The sequence below is a fragment of the Homo sapiens genome, chromosome 4 (genome assembly GCF_000001405.40).
Source record: "Homo sapiens chromosome 4, GRCh38.p14 Primary Assembly".
Taxonomy (NCBI): domain Eukaryota; kingdom Metazoa; phylum Chordata; class Mammalia; order Primates; family Hominidae; genus Homo; species Homo sapiens.
The window spans coordinates 113,744,323-113,765,043 of record NC_000004.12 but is presented as its reverse complement, the minus strand read 5'-3'; the positions used below and the strand labels follow the sequence as shown (position 1 = coordinate 113,765,043).

Here is a 20,721-nt window from a genome sequence, read left to right as displayed (position 1 = left end):
TACTTTTTTCCCCTAGCCTCCAAATCTGCAGTGAAGAGTGGCTTCAACACAGCACCTGCTAAAATTTTCACAGGAATCTGCTATTTACTGATGGACTCTGCACTTTGGGGAGCTATAGAGATAACATTATCTCTTCGCTGTTTCTTATCTTATAACTTTGTAGCAGAGGAAATCAATGAATGTTAGTATCTGTTAATATCTGCCTTTGTTAATGTAAGCATTAGAAACTTGTACTTTCTGGGTGAAACTACTGAAGTCTTGGATTTTTTTAAATTCCAAGTTGCCAAAGAGGAAAGAGGGAGAATACTTAGTCATTTTATATCCACAGCCCTCTACCCTGCTCCTTGCTTGTAAATCCCCACTTGGCCTTTTAAGAGTTGAAATAGAGTCCAATCTCTCTCTCCTCCTGCAAGACCTGGTTGCAGTGGTTCTGATCACCATGGACCCCCTTGAATAAAGCCTGCCTTATTATCTTCAACAACTTTAATGACTAACTTTTTATTCACTAACTCTCCCTCTTAACTTTCTCTACCATGTTCATCAGACATGCAGTTAGTAAGGCATGTATAATGAAATGTAAATACATTTGGCACTAACATCCAGTGTTATTATGTTTATAGGTCTACATTTCTACACTTTTTAGAATTTATCTCTATTTTGTAGCTATTCCTGAAATGATGTTGAAGTAGAACAACAACAACAAAGTCTTTGATCTGACTATTTTTTTTTTTTCAGACAGAGTTTTGCTCTTGTTGCCCAGGCTGGAGTGCAGTGGCGCGAATTCGGGTCACTGCAACCTCCCTCCTTCTCCCAGGTTCAAGCGATTCTCCTGCCTCACCCTCCAAAGTGGCTGGGATTACAAGCATATGCCACCATGCCCGACTAATCTTGTATTTTTATTAGAGACGGGGTTTTGCCATGTTGGCCAGGATGGTTTCGAACCCCTGACCTCAGATGATCCACCCGCCTCGGCCTCCCAAAGTGCTGAGATTACAGGCGTGAGCCACTGCGCCCGGCTAATCTGACTACTTTTTAAGGAGGTTCAAACTTCAGAAATAACTGTAAATATTTGTTCAAATAAGAGAAATATTTAGTCTAAAATATAAATCAAAGAAAGGGTACGTACAGATTAAGCAGTGTTTGCTGTAAAAAATGTACACATTTATTGTCTAATAATACATCAGTATTAAAACTCAGTTATGTTTCCTTTATTGTACTCCACAATTATAACCATTTACAATTATTGGTAGTTTAAATAACTGAGATAAATACTGTAATTATGTAGACTTCATTACTTGAATATTTAAGAAACAATTTTCTTCCCAGATGTAAATTTTTATATTACCTTTATTGTTTTAATTTTACTTTTTCTGTTTCATTCTTAGATTCAGGGAAAAATATTAAATTATTTCATTATCACCTTGGAGCCACATTGCTAAATAGTTCAGATATTACAAATCTTTAGCCAAGACCAAATTGTGTTTTTTTTTTCAATTTATAGCCCAATTATTAATATTTAGAGACCATGTTTCTTTTATGCAGTTCTTGGTATCATCTTTTTCTATAGCACTACATTTTACACAGTTATTTCTTGCCTTTTACGGCTGGGAATCAAAACACATACGAACTTCAATTTTGTTGTAATAAACGTTAAAATTTGTGAACATTTTTAGTACTTCAGTAAAAAGCTCACTCATTGGCAGAAGCGTTCCCCAGATCAGGAAAAAAGGAATTAGGATTATCTATGACCACAAAGTAACATTAATTAATAGCAGTCTTTGGGAGCAAGCAGCAGCGCCTTTAAATCTTAGATTCTCTTGTGTCTGCAAATTATCTTTTATCTTTCAGCTGTGAAATTTTGTCTATGAAGTAATACCACGAGCAAATTAGCAATAGGATTGCAAGGTTTTTATAGTCCCGTGCTGTAGAACAATTGGCAGTAATTTGAAAAAGACCGTCCATAACGCTGTTTTTGGTCTGCGGCTAAATTTGCAATTGCATAGTTTCATTAAGGAGAACTGGAAAGAGGGCCCAGAAGTTGTTCTAGCAATCGGCAGCAGTTTATCTATTTTAAATCGTAATGCATACTTTTTTTTTCCTCCTACTGAAAACAATGGCAGATATGCTAAAGGGAAGGACACATTCTTGAACTGCTAAATGGTTTTTCCAGATAGCCATTTACGGAGTGCACTCAATTGCCACTATCTGGCTGAAAGCAAAAGCACACACGACGGCCCCTTTTCTTTTTTCCCTTTGCAAAGCGAAACAGTCTAGACGTGTTCACGTGATGTGAATGACGTCAGCCCCCGCCGGGTCGCGTGACCGACACCCAGCCTTCCTACTACCTCCCCCTGACCGCCAGAGTGGGAAATATCGCGAGAATTCGCCTTACTATCAGAACTTACTGAGGTTGCAGGGGAGTTACTCAGAAGGGAAGGGAAGGTGTGGTTGTGCGGCGGAGTTTTTGCTTTCATTCTTTTAACGTTCACAGCCAAAGCAAAGGCCTTTGGGGATTGCCAGAGTCTCAGCCACCATCCTGGAAAACAGCGGGGGAGGTGGGCCTGGAGGTGGCAAGTGTAATGTGGCTCAGGGGCCGTCATTGCCCCTTGCAGAAGGGGCTGCGGGGGAGGGAGAAAACCTGCGCCCGGTTCTGGGGAGCTGGCGACGCAGTGAACCCTGCTGAGGCTGGGTTTTGCCCCGACAGTCGCTGGTGGCTGTGGGAAGGGTTGGGACCCTTCTCTGAGAGCAGTGAACAGCCCACATCCGGCCCCTGCTGTGTCAACTCTGAGCGGCGTGGAGATGAAGTGGTTGCTCTCCCTTGCTCGGCCCACCGGGTGTCGTGGCCCGGGAACCGGCCTGGAGAAGTCCCTGCTGCCCGGCGCCCAAAACAGGGGCGTGGGCTTCCGCGACCCAGGGCGGCTGCCCCGGGCCATCCTCGAGTTGCCCTGCATCTTCCCGCTCAGTCAGCCCCAGATTGAGGCAGCCTTCTCTGTGCGGGTTTAAATGGGTAACTGTGACTTCTCGCCTCATTCACCCAAACCTCCAGTCTTCTCCCCCGCACATCCTCCTCCACCCACCTGGTTTCTCCCTAGACTGGTGTGCTCGTGTGTGCAACCAAAGGAGGGAGTGCGAGAGATCCACGAAGGGACAGGCTTGGAGTCGCTAGAGGGAGGTGTGGGACCAGCGAGGAGGGGGCTTCGCCAGGGAGGGGGTGCTGGCAGGCGGAGGGAGCGGCGGGAGGAGGCGCCGGAGGAGGAGACGGAGGCCTGGGGACGGCAGAAGAGGCTTCGCCTGAGCCGAGCGCTCTTTCTCTCGCCGCGCCGTCTTGAAGCCGCGCGGGCTCGTGAGCAGCGCGAGGCCGCCAAGGTGCCTCGCTTCGCCGGAGCCGCTGCCGCCCGCCGGAGGGAAGCCGGCCTCGGGCGCGCACGCTCGTCGGAGCCCCGGCGCGCCCCGCGCCTGAGCCTGCTGACAGCGGCCGCTGGGCTCAGGCTGTCCGCTCTGGGCTCCGCGGCCTCGGCCCCGCTGCACTCCACCTCCGCCCCCTCGGACTCCCTCCCCTCTGCTTCTACTCCTCCTGCTCCAGTGCGGATCGTTTCGCAACTGCTTGCCACTCGTCCCGTGCCTGGCTGTTTTTCCATTTCCCGGCCCCCTCTTCTTGAGTACTTTACCCCCTGCATTTGGGGACAGGGACTGGAAAAGGGGCGGGTGGAGCGTCCAGTGGAGAAGAAGGAAGCGAGGCCCGCAGGAGGAGGAGGATCGGCGGACTGTGGGGAGGAGACCCCACGCCACCCTTTCTGGTCATCTCCCCTCCCGCCCCGCCCCTGCGCACACTCCCTCGCGGGCGAGCTACTTTCGGACCAGGAAAGTAAGAGCGGCCCTGGGTGACAGCGCCGCGGGGCCAGTCCCGGGGTTAGCCGCGCGTCTGCTCGCTTCTGGTCCGTCGCGCTCCCAGCCAGGGCACAGCCCGGACCGAGGATGGCTTCGACCACAACCTGCACCAGGTTCACGGACGAGTATCAGCTTTTCGAGGAGCTTGGAAAGTAAGCACCTTTGCCCGGCATCCGCATATCCCCTTTCCAGCTGAGGGCGGGTCGCGTTGCCCCCGACCCACCGGCCTCCGTCTTGGGGCGAGGGAGTTTGGGAGAGGAATGGGAGGAGGGCCCCTGGTTTGTCAGCTCTGGGGAAGGTGCTGTCTTAATAAAGGGAGGGAGCACAGAAGGGGTAGGACCCTTACTCCAACTGTGGCTCATTTTGATGGTCCCTAGCCCACCTTCTCCCGGTCCCCCACCCTCCTGCACTGAGAGACTTAGTGAATTTACGATCTCTGCAGTTGTAGCTATCATCCTGAGAAGTGTGCGCGCGCGCCTGTGTGTAATGTGTGTTTGGAGAGGAAATTAGAACCCATGTAAAATGCAACATAGATCATGTTTTCTGTAAATAGAGATGCCTCCTGGTTAGCCGGCGTGTCGGCCGTATGACCCAGGTACTGATGAGAACTCACAGCCTCAGACGGTGCCATATTTATTGATGCCGAAAGTTCAACTTGGCATAGAGTCTATTTCGCATCCAGTAGTTGTTCTGTCCAGGAAAAGGGCCACCCAACAGAACCCAACCCCTTGCCCTATATCCAGTGTTGTTCTTTGCACCAGATTACCGCTCACCATCATTCTTCCTAGGATTTACGTGTGCATCTTTGCGTTCTCTGGGAGGATTTATTTATACAGGCAACGGAAAAGCCCTCTGGAGACTGAGAGCGCTCTTAAGCGTAGCCTAGCATTGTGTAAAACCACCTCCTTCACCCGACTGGCAGAACTACTTGGAGATGTTAGGGAAGGAGGCAGGAGACCTACTGAGGACTTATGCAAAGGGACCTAGGGGCCAAGCCGTGAATGCTGATTTTTGTAGCATGGAACCCAAACCCAATTCCTCTTTCACTAGTTTCGACTGTTACTTTTATGAAAGGAGTGCGTTTATATGTATGTTGTTGGTTTATACTGTAATTAAAGGAAAGGTAAATATTTTTAAAAGTAATAAAAATTACATATGTATATATTGTCTGGTGTTAAAACATGGAGAATATGTCGGAAGAGCAGCTTAATTCAAATCTCTCCCCTCCCCCAGTCCAAAACAAGGCATAGAGAAATCACCATACCAGGATTTGTTAAACCACACTAATGTGCTCAAGATTTATATTTTAATGAAAATAATCGTCATGTTTACTTACTTGGAACCACATTAATTTTTTGTTTCCTACCAAAATAAGTAGGCAGCAGATTTTTTTGCTGCTCCTCGTCTGCTCTGTTCTGTGCAGGGTTTTTCTCAGAGCATTTGGTGCTGTGAGTGTGAACTGTAAAATGTTTTCAAATTTCTTGTGCAAACAAGAGCGGTCATAATTGGCAGTTCCTTTCATTTTGTTGATTAATAATGTGTGCTCCCAGTTAAATAAAATTTACTTTTATTCTTCAACATTAAAGAAAGTCTGGGTTTCCAGGAAGAATTGTTCATTTACTGGATATTACTGTACTTCACTGGCAATCCACTAAAATCAATAAAAATGCTCAGATTTTATAAATTTTTAATGAAATATTATATCTGTTATATTAATGACCTGCTAATTATTGGTTTCCAGGGGGGCATTCTCAGTGGTGAGAAGATGTATGAAAATTCCTACTGGACAAGAATATGCTGCCAAAATTATCAACACCAAAAAGCTTTCTGCTAGGGGTGGGTATTTTCAACCACATATATTGGTTAATTTTGTATTTGTCATGTTGATTATAGGTTCTGTTGTATGTAAATATATCATGTAGTTATAACTGAACTTTAGACTTAGGTATCATATTATATATTAAGATTATTTTCTTCCTGAATGCTTCTTGGTCTGTACAGCTTAAAAATACATGGAAAGATATAATTATTATTTGATACATTGCTATTAAAATTCTATCTGTCCTATGAGCAATAGCATGAATAACTATATTTTAAAGCAAATAAATGTCAGGTGCATTTTGCTTATAGTTTAAGTATAAAACAACTTTTAGACCATGGAATGGAAAAATATAAGTCTCACAACTGTCATAATTCCCTTTTGCTTTTGAGAGGGAAGTAGGTCATAGCTCAGTTGAATCATACATTTCAATTGTAGTTACACTTGAACTTAATTCATCAAGGTATATTTAACAGTAATAGCTTTGGTAAGAAAATTTATGATTGCTATATTCTAGGAAGTTTAGTTTTATTTTGATGTTTCTGTGTGCAGCTCAGACCTTGGTCTTCGCATTAAGGCTTCACACAGACTCATGTAATGTATTTTACACATGTAGTTTATAGGTACAGAGATAATTCATACTCGTAAAATAGCTGTTGACATAACCAAAAAACTTGGAGGGCTCTCACTGCATTCTTTTTATTTAGTAGAACTCATGCAAAAGTACTTACGCTGAAATGTTAGGCATTCCAATTATTGTGGGCACGTGTCTGAGGTATTTCCATGGGAATTTATGGTATAAAAATGAAATGAAAATGAACAAAATACCATAGTGTACGCTCATCTCAGTGACCTGGTTTATTTTAAGTAATGAGAGAAGAAATTCCATTAGGTTTAGTTTTCCTCATTTAATATGTCTTTTCAAAAGTGCTTCTTACCAAAATCCTGGCATCATTGCTTTCGGTCTCTGCCATGATTAGTTTTTCCATATTTATTGCAAATTCTACTTTTAACATGCATTTTAGGTTTAGGTTGGTATTTTAGTTTATCCATTCACATGGGTTGTTGTTTTAATTTCCTTCATCTGATTTTGACATGATTCTGAGAAAGATCTATAAAGTAACCAGCACCATAGAATCATGGTATGAAAACTAATGAGAAGAATATTATGTTAATTATGTTCTCTTAGTCTCTACTCCACAGAAAGGTTTTAACAATGAAAAGGAATTGCTAAACTATAAGTGACATTTTAATTTAAAAAAATGAAAATGTGTAGTTAGAATCTTTCAGTGCTTCTCTTATTTTCTTCTGTGTGCTAGATACTTTTGGCTGTGGTGGGGGTATCATTTCTTTTGAAAGCATTACAATACCTATTCCAAGATTTTTGGTGGTGTTTCTTTCAAAACAAATCAGTGTAGTGCTTCACTTTTACTAACTTTCTTAATTAGAGCCATCCCTCTTCACTCATCTGAATTTGTCCTCCCTAAATCAGAATAACAAATGTACTTATCCCTGGTCACATACATTTTACTCTCTTTTCCCTTCAATCTGTGGAGAAGAAGCCTTCTTTGGCCTGATGGAATCTTTTCTCCTTGCTACTCCACCAGTGTTTCCTTACTTGCTCATATTCTGCTTCAAAGAACTACCTACATGTCCCAAAGCTTTTTACCGCTTCTGGATGTAATGATTTTCATTATTCTACTTAGAAAAAGGAACTAGGGTGAAGAGTTAGGAGACATTCTTCTTGCCCGTTTTCTGCAATTTTTTTTCCTTGTGACTTTGGGCAAGTTTCTTAACCTGTTGTAGGTTAACGTACCTAAGAGTGAGCTGGTGGTGAAGAACATTATTAACGCTGCAACCAGAAGCTCTTGAGTTTAACTTCTGCTGCCCATACCTACTGGCTGTGTGATCTTGAGCACATTAACTAGTTTCTCTGAGCCTCAGTTTCTTCATCTGTAAAATAGCAGTAATAACAGAACCCTTCCTCATAGGGTTTTGTGTGGAATGAATGAATTAACATAGCATAGAACAGCACCTGCCCCACTATATGCAGTCAATGAATATTATCTGCTATTATTATCTAATAAAATTGTCATAATGATCAAATTAGATTACTTTTATGAAAGAACTTATAAATCCAGTGGCAGCCTTGATTTAGCTGTGAGAACTACGTTTGAATCTTTGCTCTACTACTTAGGCATAAATTTCGTTTAGTCTCTTTCCTTTTCTGGATATCAGGTTCTTCATCAGTAAAATGGGAAATCATACTCATGGAGTCTCATGGGGTGTTCTGAGGATTCAGGGAATTCAATGAGAATCATTTCTTAAACTGCAAAGTATTGTGTCAATTTTACCTCTTATTATTGTTCTCCTGAAAAATTACAGAACTTTTCCTTCAAAATGGTCAACAATTTTATTTTATATTGTCACACTAATCAGAACTGGTTGTAGAATATTTGTGCCTTTGAATGAATACGTTTGTTTAACTTGTACTCATATTGAATTATAAACTCTTGAAGAAGAAAATACCATGCTTTCATTTTTTGATACAACATTCCACAGAATTGAGAGCATAGAAGGGGCTCAGTACAGAGTAACAAGAATCAAATGTGGTTGTTAAATGACTTGTAAGAGTTAAGTACTTAATTTACTCCTAACAACAAGCAAATACTGAAAATAAATCCGTGAAGTAGTATATTAAGAGGATATGTCTTAACCTATGAAGTCTTTTAATAACACTCATTTCAGAGAAGATGATACAAATCATTTTTGCAGAAAAATTTTTAAAATAATGAATACGTTCAAAGGCAAATGTAGAAAGAATTGCAAAATAGTATGCTTGTTTTTTCTAAGGTACTGATTTTTGAGAGTTGCATATGGAAGCTTTTGTGGAGCATACTTTTTTTGTGCAAATTTTTGTTTGTATTTGAAATTCCATGACTCTGTATACCCAAGCCTTTAGTCTATTTGTTTTAAAGACCAGGCAGGTCCTCCAACTCCACTAATGTTCTTTAAATGTAACATTACAGCTGAAAAAGAAAGGGCTATTGTTAATAAATCTAAGACCATGAGGGAATTGCCAAAGATTTGGCTACATTCCTGCATAAATTTGCACATCCAACTATACTATCAACCAGGCATTTTTCTGTGCCTAGATTTTAATGGATTTCCAGCAGACAGTTTCAGTTGTATTTCCTCTCAGCTGTTAGTCATACATACCATATTTGGGGAACTCTGAGTCAATTGAAGAATTTCTTACCTTTTGTGTTAGCATGTGCGTGCATAGAACATTCATTATACTGAGCATGTAGATGGGTACACTCATATATAATTTGGCTTATTTTGAAAATAAGTAGTATGGAAGCATCTCAAGCATCTTATATTTTATATGTAATTTCTATCTTCTAAAAAGTTTTTGTTAGATGGGCATTGAGGGCATGCTTAGTAAATGTTGAATAGTGATAATAGAATTTTTGCCTTATATTTTCATGAGAATTAGAAATTACGCCATTTTAATCCCAAGCACAGTTAGATTAGTACTTAACAAAAGCCAATTTTTTTCTGCTGCTTTGATATTCTGTTTATTTATACATGTTTAGAACTGTACACTGTTGTCAAATTATATAAAGTCCAAGAAGAGCTGTGACTGCAGTTCAGAATCCAGTGGACTGATGGTTCTGATGGCAGATAATTTAGAAATAGTACCTGTGATTTATTTTGCATTTCAAAGCCTCGTGGTGGTAAAATATTTTATGTGGAAGTAATGGCTTCTTGACATTCATCTCCCAGTGTATTTCTTGATCGTTAGAAACCATTTGACTATTACATAGATTCTGATGTGTCACAGTCACTGTTTTTGTAAAATATAATACATTATAGTATAGGGTTAAAAAATAAGTTATTACAACTGTATTTTACCTCTACTCCATTGCTAAAGTTAAAAGGGATTTCATTTTATATTTCTGTAAAACTTCAGGCTTAATCAGTTAAGTCATTTTGATATTCTTTGATTTTACTAGTTTTATTAATTCCTAAATTGGTGATATTAGTAGTACATGAATCAGGACTTTATAAAACTACTTGACCATGTATGCAAAATTAGGCCTCATCTATAAAATCTAAATGTTTTGTGTGTGTGTGTGTGTGTGTGTGTGTGTGTGTGTATCCCTAAGTAACCTTTTTTGATGTTGTAAAAGGGATGTTAAAAACTAATTCTTGCTACTTTTCTTTTATTTTTGGCTTCCAGGCAGTCAAGAAAGTACTGTAATTTCTCAACTTCATGGTTACTTGTCTTGAATTGGAAGTAGAACTGAGACTATGTAGATGGATTAAGTTCTGATTATACATTATTGATTTGGCAAATTGGAACAATTTGGACAAATTAAAATTTGAAGGTTTCTTGGCAAGAACAACATTTTAAGAAAAAAATTAGTAAATCATTTTTATATTTGTACATAGAATCTCCACAACTCTTCAGTTATGGACCCAGAAGTGGCATGTGTCATCCTTATTATTTTGTATCCTTTACTTACGTTTAGTTGTATTTACATTCTTCTATAGGTCTTGATATTAAACATTCATTTTCTTCTTTCATTGAATGAAAGCATTACTGCTCTTCAGAACTAGTTAGGAGACACAAATAATAAAAAAAAAAAGTATATCCACACTTCCAGGAAATAATAGAATTCTTTTCTGTATTTCATTAAATGAAGAAAATAAAGAAAGTGGTTGTCAGGTGCCATACTGTGATATTAATAACTAGTGTAAACCTCTACCTGATTGTGTGAGAACTTTGTTTAGACAATTAGATTAATACTTCTCATTTCCATTGAAATGTTGAATAAACTGAATATAAAAATTAAAATTTAGCAATATGTCACCTTTTATGGATCTTTTTAATGGTAATAATCACGAATTACTAGAAATCTTACATGTACTGGGCTTTTCTTGGGCATCTAACTTTTTTGTTAACTAGAATTTTAATTTATTTTTAAAGTCTTCCTTGGGCTTATACTGAGGTTGACTCATAGTATTTCTAGGGCTGGATTGGTATATTTTTTAACATCAGTCTTCCCCATTTATTAGGGTGTAATGTATGCAGTGTTTTAATAAATCATTGGCAATTAATGATTATATAGAGGCTGTGTTAAAGATTTTAAGTTACAATAGTATTTCTAGTAAACTACACTGCAATGCATTAAATGGAGTATTAGCAATATTTTAACTGTAAAACATATCTTTATATTTCAAATCACTTTATAGATCATTAAGCATATTCACATGTCTTTATGTGTTTATTTAATAAATATTAAATGATTTCAGTGGACAGTGTTAGGAAAAATAAAGGCTATCTACCTAAATAAACATAATAGAAGACATGAATGGCATTACAATTCAAGCATGAATAAAGTACTATGGGCTCTTAAAGGAGGACAAGATTATTTCTGCCCAGGGAGATAAAGAAAGCCTTTCATATAGTATTGATTTAAAGAAATTTTGAAAGCTATAATGTAGATGGGGCTTAAGTACCACCCCCGCCCCCACCCAACCGAAAAAAAAAGTCTAAATAAATGATTTGGGGAAGTTGCTCAAAGTAGTTTAAATATCTGATTATAACAAAATGTTATGTTATTCATATGGTAAATTTGTTGTAATTATCAGTATACAGTTATTTTTAGAATAAAATTATTTTAAATGACGTAGGCTGTTTCTTAAGTGACAAAATTCCTCTAATTCCAGTTGAGAGATTTAGCAATACTTAAGGAGAAATCATAGACCTTTTATCTGCCATAACTTCTCTTACTCTAGCATAGGGAAATTGGTAGGTTTGAAGAGGAGAGAGGGCAGCTTTTTTGTTAAGTTTGTTTGGTTTTGTTTTTAAATCTCTTAGCTATCATTGTAATTACACACAATGACACAATGACATCACTGATTTTTTTAGTTACCTGAGCCCCTTTTCTGGTGTTACAGTCTCATTTTAACTCCTTAGAACTATGTTTATTACTACCAAAATCAATAATGCCATCTTCATCATTAATAATAATTTAGAAAAATATAAATATTAATAGCCATTATTTGAAGAGCCCCTTCTATGAGACAATAAGTATATATTTACAAGATACTTTGTTTTATTTTATTTAATCCACACTGCAGCCTCCTAGAACAATATTATGTCCATTTTAAAAAAGAATACTGAGGCTCTTGTATAAGGCCTCAAAATTAGTAAGTGATAAGAGTCAGGATTTCAATCTGGTTTTCTCTGACTGTAAATTCTGACTCTTTCCACTGTCACCTCCTGTTGATTGCTATTAGAGAGGACTTATCTTAATCTGTCTGTATTTACCTGTGTGTGCTTAACTGATCTTACAAACTTCAGAGTCCTTCATACAAAGCACTATGCCTTACATTTTATCTTCCCATTGCAGTGTGGGGGATTGAGTATTTCTTTGGGAAAATACATTTAGAGTTCCAACCTGTGAGAGAAGATAGTCTTTTAAATGCTACTATAACAAGATCAAAGTGAAGTTTCAGACAGTCCCTCCATGCTGTCTTCTGGAAGGACAACAATATAGTGAAAAATGTTATTATAAAATGGTAGGAAAATGGTTAAAGAGGAGTTCAGTATTTTGGTAAACTTAATTCATTAACTGATTAAAAATATCTCACTATACAGTAAGTTTCTAGGATTACTTCTTCTAAATGATTCAGTTGTCACTGCAAACTAAAACTCAGCCCTTAACCGAAGCCCAGAGAAACCTACTCAGAAAGCTGTTCTACTCTTCTGGTTCATCTTGTTTAACCAGTGAACAATGGAAGACAAATTTTTGTTGTTTTGTAGTTTCCTTTTGAACAACATTGTTGTATGTAGCAAATTCTTACAAAAATGTGGCAATTTAAAGAAAAATATAAAATTGTCAAGTTCTATATTTGTTGAAAAAATAACTTAGGTGCAGCAAGTAGTATAAAGGTACACAAAGTATTGTGATATAATATTTATATACAGTTAATTGTTTTACAATAGGTTTCCTGTTTTCCTTCAGTTACATTGATTACATAGGAATGTTAAAAGTTTTATTGCATAAAATTTGATATATATAATTATATCATATATATTTAATTTTATAACAATAAGCACCCAATAAGCCTCCACTCAATAACTAGAACATTCTCCCTACTTTTGAAGCTACCTGTGTGCTTTTTGTTGATCCCTATCCTTTGTATCTCCCCGAGAGCTAATCACCATCCCTAACTTTTTTAGGAGAGAAACCTCTTTTTATTTCTTCATACCCTGGGGTTTTTTAATTAACTGGCTGATCTCAGTGGGCCAGTCATTCATGGAATAAATATATGTAGCCATTTTCTAGGTAAATTGTATTTTATTTTATTTTGTGTGGTATATGTGTAAACTCATGGAATAAAATACATTACTTCTCATATATTAGTATATAATTTTACCCTCTTAAATATAGGCAATGCTTAATTTATTTGGAATTTGTTTAGTAACAGGAAATTATTTTCTTCCTATGTCTGATAAAATTTTTTTTAAAATTATTTATTTATTTATTTTGAGACAGAGTCTCGCTCTGTCGCCCAAGCTGGAGTGCAGTGGTGCTATCTCGGCTCACTGCAACCTCGGCCTCCCAGGTTCAAGTGATTCTCCTGCCTCAGCCTCCTGAGTAGCTGGGATTACAGGTGCGTGCCACCACGCCTGGCTAATTTTTGCATTTTTAGTAGAGGCAGGATTTCACCATGTTGGTCAGGCTGGTCTCGAACACCGGACCTCGTGATCCACCCACTTAGGCCTTCCAAAGTGCTGGGATTACAGGTGTTAGCCGCCGCACCTGGCCAAAATTTTATTAATGATAATGTATACACATTGAAATAAAGCATGAATAACTTATATAAAAGTAACTTATTAAATGTAAATATAGTAAGTGAAAATTTATCAAAATTTTCTGTTTTATAAAGAAATTGTGGATAGTTGATATATGCCACATTATGCTATTAGTGTTTAAATTAAAATTTGATGTTTTGTTGAGGAAATAAGTACTTTTGCATTTTTTTGAGGCAATGTTCTGGATAATTTGAATTTCTGCTGAGGGTTATTTGTTAGTAATACAGCCCCAAACTCAGCATATTCCCAGTAGACTCATCAACTTTCCCCCTCTGTGAATGGCACAATAATTTTCCTAAGCTTTCAAGCATGCCTGATTTTTTTCTTTTTCTTATCCCATCTCAACACCTTTTTCATTTCTTCCTTTTCACCATCCCAATTTGAACTCTCTTTTCTTTTTGCTTCAACTCTTTGTTTTGTGTTTTGAGACACAGTTTCTCTGTTACCCAGGCTCTAGTGCATTTGTGAGAACCTAGCTTACTGCAGCCTCCAATGCCTGGGCTCAAGTGATCCTCCTGCCTCAGCCTCCTGAGTAGCTGGAACTACAGTCATGTGGCACCATGCCCAAGTAGTTGTTTGTTTTATTTTTTTTAAAGACAGAGTCTCTCTGTGTTCCTCAGGCTGGTTGGTCTTGAACTTCTGGGTGTAAGGCAATCCCCCTATCTCAGGCTCTGAAAGTCCTGGGATTACAGGCGTGAGCTACTCACTGTGCCTGGCTGCTTCAACTCTTTTAGATAGCCTCCTAAATGGGTTTGGTAGATAATAGTTGCACATTTTTTATTCGTTTATTCAGCTCATCATTAGATCTTTTAGCACTCGCTTTGCTGGGCAACTTGATAAGTTTTAGAGATCCAGAGGTAAAAGACAGACATTCCTTCCTCAAGTATTTCCTGGCCTATGAGTGTGGATGACAGCCTGGCATTTAGTAGAGTTAGTGAAAGGGCTGTGATAGACGCGTGCACAGGGCTTTTGAGAGCATGCAGAAACAGGCTTGGGGAGGTTGGTCTCACAGATTTCCTGAAAAGATTGATGTGTGAGGTTGTATTTTGAATAAATTAGGTGAGCCTGCTAGAGAAGGGAGTAAGCAATCTGTTCACAGGGAGGGAGAAAGTTCCTGCTCCATCTTCCTGATGGAGTGAGTACACCTGGTACTGTTGCAGTACTCTCTCCTTTAAGATCCAGTGCAGGTCCTGCCTCCTCCATGGTCTCTAACTTCTTCCCCCACCTCTCCTTACTTTCTCTAGCCAGAGAGATTGTTGTCTCCTTCTTTGTCCTTTCAATAGATATTTCATATCTTATGGAGCTTGCCAGATTTCTCCCTTTGTATTGCAGTCATACATGTTGTGGCCTTCAGGCATTTGGTGACATTTCTTAGTTTATCTTTCAGTCTGCGCCTGGCACAGTAATTAATATTGCAGATACTTGTAAATGTTTGTTGGATAAGTGGACAAATAATTGCATGACCAAATAAGATTCTGTATCTTGAAATAGACATGCTTCAAAGAGAAACTTATGACTGGCAAAGTAAATTGAAAATTGACTAAGACTTCATGTCAAATAGCATACAATAACTCTATAAATTAATTTGTAATTCACAAATTATTTCATAAGTTTTGTCATGACAAATTCTGCTTTATTGGAAAGAGTTTTGTATAATTCAGTATTTTCTTTTTGAGCAACTACTTGCAAATTCTTATTGCTGCTCTTTTTTTAAACCATGTATTATAAAGTGGCTCATTAATGAGGGCTAACATTTTCATGGTCTGTGTGTCCATCAGCACCACTTTAATAATTCCAGACTCATGTCATGATTAAATTATTTTAACATGTTTGAGTTTAAAAAAATTTTGATCCATTCTACAGAGGTATCTGATTACTTTTTCATTTATTTTTTGACAAAGCTTATTTTTAAGCAGTATGGTGACACTTTATAGAGTTTTAGATATACATATCATGGATGTTATTAGCTTAGAGGATATTTGATTTTTTTTAGTAAAGGCAGTTAGAGGCCAGCTGTTTCAACTGCTGTGTCTGTCAGTTGAGAAATTTGGTGAGGGAGAGTGTACTTGTTTCTGTATTGGAAGGCTCTTTAAACAGAATGCATGTTGAAAAGCACTTACTTGTGTTCTCTCCTCAAGGAAATTTCTTGTGTGATATGTTGCAAGACACTGGGTGGGGGGGGCGGGGTTCCAAATTCTATAGCTTTACAGTGCTAATACATATACTAAATTAGAGACATATTTCTAATACCTATTCTAATATATTTAATATTATATATTACATTCTATTTATAGCTATTATATATGAGAAAATATTCTTTTCATAAAAGTATTCCTATCATATTTTTAAATGATGACTTAAAGCCTTTAATCATAGTGGCAATAGTGATTTGGGGAGTTAGTTCAGGTGTACATTTTGGCAGTTTTGTAGAAATTGTATCCATGATGAATATTTTATTACTTTGATAAAGTGAATTTTATATGCTTTAATACTAAACATTAATATTTGTTAGGTATAGAATTACAAACTTCAGACATACCTCTGAAATAAATCTTTATTACAGTTTTGTATAAATACATTTTAAAATAATCATATCATAAAATATATATATTCTAATTACAGAATTTGGGGAAATATGGAAAAATAGAATGAGGGAAAGACATATTTGTAGTTCATTTCCCCCAAACAAGCACTGTTAACATTTTGTCACTTTCTTTTTCTTCAGAATACTGGACTAAAATATTACAATTTTATGTCCTGCTTTTTTACTTAAAATTATAAAACTTCCCTATGTACTGCAAATCTTTTGAATTCTTAATAAGTGAATTATACTTCACTAAGTGACTAGAAAACTGATTAATTATTTTGGTATTCCTAGTATTTTTTTTAATTTTTGCTTTTTGCTATGATGACTGGCACTATTATAGACATTCTTTTGTATAACTTTTTTTATAGTTCTGATTAGTTTCTTAGGAAATATTCATAGAGGAGAATTAATGGGTTAGAGGATTAAATATCATCAAAATTATTCTTGCCTAATTACTTCCTGTAAATTTTGTGTGTTTCCACCAATGACAAAGTATGCGAGCGAGAAATTGAATTTTAAGGAGCGTGATTCTAAATTTTAACTTCAATTTAACAAAAAATGCTTATTCACCATGTTCTGGTCCTTCTGCTAGGTGCTGGATAAATGAAGGTACAAAGGACAAAAGTCCCTCCTTTCAAGGTGAACAGATGTAAAGTCAAGTAAAATTACCATTCAGGTTGATAAATCTAACAATGGGAGTGTTTACTGGGTTCTGAGGTGTAGGAGATAACTGTTGGGTTGATGAGAGGTCAGGGAAAACTTCCTAGAGGAGCTGATGTTTGAACTGGATTTCCAAAAGAATCAGTTTTTGAACTGAGAGATAGGTAGGAAAAAAAACAAGTTCAAAGTATATGTTGAAAAAATACTCACGAGAAGCCAGAATATTGGAACGTACCAATAAAGACTGAACTTGAGAAAAGCACTTTCTAACTCTTGGTGATAGACTTATCAGGTATAGAGTTTCATGAAACATGCAAAAACGGGTGAAAAGAATGGGAGTTTTTTCTTCCAACGAATCATTAAGTATGGCAAGAGCTGTTGGAGGTTCTTAAATAAGGCAGATTGTAGAATTTTACAACACTGAGTTACTTGAAATGAACAGGTGATAAGAGAGGAATAATTAACCTCTTACCTACCTCATATTTTGTTTTAGTGAGCCTTGGGGCAATACAAAAAATTAAGAGTGACTAAGTAGAAAATAAAGGACGGGAGGATAATTAGAATTTGTTTTTAAAAATCGGCTAGTACTTTAAAAGGTAGTTCCTATAGTTGCAATATGGATTAATGACTGTTTAAAAAAGTTCATAAGTTTCTGCTCAAATCCAAAACTAAGATATCTAAAAATGGTACTGACATTATTAACTGCTTGAATGCCTATTGTCAAGAGTAGTGTTTGGCACCCACCACAGGTATTTATTGAAAACATAAAGGAATAAAATGATTCCCAAATGATATCATCTTATGATTAATGAATACACATTTGAGGACCTAGAACTTTTAGCAGTAAGATTTGCATACGCTTTTCCTATTGAATTTAAAAAAAAAAAAAAGTTCAAAATTCTGTTAGATTAATTCTGTGATATAGTTTATAATTTGGCATAAGCTGGTAGTAGGGAAATAGTCACTTCTTTATGCCCATGATTTATATAATGAAACAATCTTCCATTCACTTAGAAGACAACTTCGATTTAAATATTTAGCCTCCCTAGCAAGGCCCAGCCATGCAATTTTTTCCCTGTTAGAAGAATTTTAGCAACAGTAAAAAAAATTAATATGTAAGATTTTGCTATTTTTATTAGTTTTGAGGACTGCTTGCCTTGTAGTTTAAAGGGGGTAAAAAGGATCATTGTTTTACTCAATGTATATATATATATATATTATTAATGGTAGATTTTTTTTTTTTTTGGTTGATGTAGGAACTTTGGGAGTAGAGCAGAAAGCCTATTGACTTCAAAAATAGTGACTCAGGGTTGGTATAATCATTAGTAAGCAGGTTGGGAAAAATCCTAATTCCAGACCTCAAGTAGAATTTTAGTATCAGAGTCACTCCTGTTCCTTAAATGTAGATCTCCTGATTTCAGGCCATTTTTCATTCTAATAGAATTAGAGAAGAAAAATAAAACCTGTCAACGAGGACTATTTACCTCCTATAGATAGGATTGAGACCTACTTTTCTGTAACTTTTGAAGTTATTTTTGGGAAAAATTTCCTTGGGTTGACTTTGCCCCCTTCACCCAATGCATCTGTGTGATCAGGAAAAGGGAAAACAAGATTTAATTGTTAACTTTTAAAAAGTCCTTTTGAAAGAAAAAAATATATACTGTCTTATATTGACAGAGAACCAATTATTGGGTTACCTGCAACACTGTATCCTCCATTTAGTGCTGATAATCATAATGTCCATAATCTCCCAATAAGATAAAATAATAAAGAGGCTCTGAGGCATGAACAGGGGTGGCTAAAGGATCATTGAGATAACTTTTAAAATAATAATGATTTATAGAAATTGAGTTAATATTTGTTGACCTTCTACAAACTTTAAAACAGATAGAAGGTTTTAAGGTATATGTTTTGAAATAATCCAAACCAAATAAATCTAAACTTAGAAATACCATATTAGAAATATACAGTGAACACACACAAGGTCAATTTTAAAAACAGCACTTAGCTTTGAGCAGATAATTTCTCCTTCACCCTGAATGCAAATAATTTATTCAGCCCTTCTATAACAAGCTTAGGGGATAAAAGAGGCAAAGGGCATGAGAAATGAGTCTTTGGAAAATTATTGTAACTAACACTAATGCTTATTTAGCATCTTTCATTCAAAGACCTTCAGACATTTCCTAATTGAGTTCTGTAGTACTTCTGGAGTGTGGGTAAGGAACATTTAGAGACTCCTGTGCCCAGTGCTGTAAGGCCTGCCATCCCCGTGTGGCATGTTGCAGCTGTTTTGTAGGGTACATCATATTCCTTCCTGGGCCAGAGAATGGAGGAGACAGCGTTATCCAGCTGAAATCCCAGAAGGATTAGGGGAACAGGAGTGAATTACCTGGATTGGAATTTGGCCAGCTTTCTGGGTCAGAAATCCTATTCCTATAAAAATGTTCTATCTTTAAAACATTTTATATCCTGCTTTATCTCCAAGAAAATAAACGCTACATCACTTATTTTCTGCAAATACCTTTGGGAGCTTAACATTAATATTGAGGAATGTGACAGCCTATATCTACTATTAATGAGGAAAGAAAGCGAGGTTAACATTTTATCTAAAAGATATTAGAAGAGAAAAACTATTTGTATTATGCCTGTCGAAAGTAAGCTGTGGGGGACATGAAGATAATAACATATGACCAGTTCCCACAAAAAACTTACAAACTGGTTTGATGAATAGGAGACATACATAGATAATTATGGGGAAGATATATATGTATCTTCAGTATCAGAAGAAAGTATTATGAGAATTCAGTGTAGCCTAGTGATGACATTTAATGGCAGAAGCAAGAAAGGTAACATTGAGGAAGCAGAAGTGGCAGTGCATAGAAGGAAGAAAGAAGGACAAAGACACAGGAATGCAGGAAAGTATCAATGTTTAGGGAAGAACCAAAAATGTTTATTTGGGCAAAGGATAGACAATCTGGGAAATCAGGAAAGAAAAGGTTAAAAACACGTAAAGGTAGTTTACCAAATTGCAAATTTGCTCTTAAGTATACCAGAGACACATTAAAGAGAGCCTCTATGATGTTACTTGGTAGCAGTGAATGAATACGATGGATTGGCCTGGATTATGAGAGACACTGAGATTCTGAAACCTTAAGATAATAACAGATGTGGCAGGAGGGCTGAAGTTTCAAAGCTGAGTCATGGGGAGAATTAGTTTTCGTGTAACTAGTTGAGAAGTGAGAATCAAGAACTGATTTTGATGAGGGAAGATGATTAATTGATATGTATTTGAGGTATACACAATATATTCACACTGACTTATCAAAAAGACCTTTGAAAATTGGGTGTGGTCCTTGAAAAGTGCCTCTGGAGAACATGCAATGTACTGTGTAGGTTACCAGCATTGGCTGTGAAATCAGATTGCCAAGATTCAAGAAGTGGCTCTGCCACTTCCAAGTTCTTGTGACCTTCTCAAGCCTTGGTTTTCTTATCTATAAAACTGTGATAATCAATTTTGCGGCTATGATAATCAATTTTGTGATTCATTTGCACGGAGAAGATAGTAGAAGCTATGCTAGTGGATAAGATAACAATGGAGAGTATAGAAAGGAAAGAAAAGAGGGCCTAGGATAGTGGTGTAGGGAAATACTGCATTTTAATGGATGAAAAGAGGGCTAGTTTAGGATAAATGGAAGGATATGGCAGAAAGGTATGAAGGAAATTAGGATAATGCAGTGATTTGAATTCTGAGGGAGGGAATTTTTGCAAAGGAGGGGTGGCTAGTAATGTTCAGAATTGTAGAGAAGTAGAGAGAAATGAAGACCAAGAAAAGGCCTTGATTTCCCATATGGCAGAATTTCAATAGTGTTTAGG

At 37.2% G+C, this 20,721-nt stretch overlaps 1 protein-coding gene across 54 annotated transcripts in view, besides 3 other annotated features; it reads left to right on the top strand.

The window, feature by feature from the left end:
* Positions 2,039-2,577: an enhancer, noted in NCBI's record as "H3K27ac hESC enhancer chr4:114683623-114684161 (GRCh37/hg19 assembly coordinates)". NCBI's record gives its function as "activates a minimal SCP1, AML or CMV promoter by ChIP-STARR-seq in naive H9 embryonic stem cells {active_cell/tissue: H9 hESC(naive)}" and the evidence as "EXISTENCE:reporter gene assay evidence [ECO:0000049][PMID:30033119]".
* Positions 2,578-3,116: an enhancer, noted in NCBI's record as "H3K27ac hESC enhancer chr4:114683084-114683622 (GRCh37/hg19 assembly coordinates)". NCBI's record gives its function as "activates a minimal SCP1, AML or CMV promoter by ChIP-STARR-seq in naive H9 embryonic stem cells {active_cell/tissue: H9 hESC(naive)}" and the evidence as "EXISTENCE:reporter gene assay evidence [ECO:0000049][PMID:30033119]".
* Positions 3,110-3,519: a silencer, noted in NCBI's record as "silent region_15647". NCBI's record gives its function as "represses an Ori minimal core promoter by ATAC-STARR-seq in GM12878 lymphoblastoid cells {active_cell/tissue: GM12878}" and the evidence as "EXISTENCE:reporter gene assay evidence [ECO:0000049][PMID:35858748]".
* Positions 3,306-20,721, top strand: part of CAMK2D (calcium/calmodulin dependent protein kinase II delta) — a 310,707-nt gene continuing 293,291 nt past the window's right edge. For 53 of the 54 annotated variants that reach the window (NM_001321578.2, NM_001321577.2, XM_017008674.3 and 50 more), the window contains exons 1-2: positions 3,306-4,040; positions 5,630-5,724. Coding sequence is in view for 44 of the 54 variants with exons in the window: in NM_001321577.2 (NP_001308506.1) it covers positions 3,976-4,040; positions 5,630-5,724 (160 nt within the window). In the remaining 10 variants the exon portion in view is untranslated. Of the gene's footprint in view, positions 4,041-5,629; positions 5,725-9,953; positions 10,572-20,721 lie in introns of those variants that run through there. The other variant, NM_001321592.2, reaches the window with a different exon arrangement.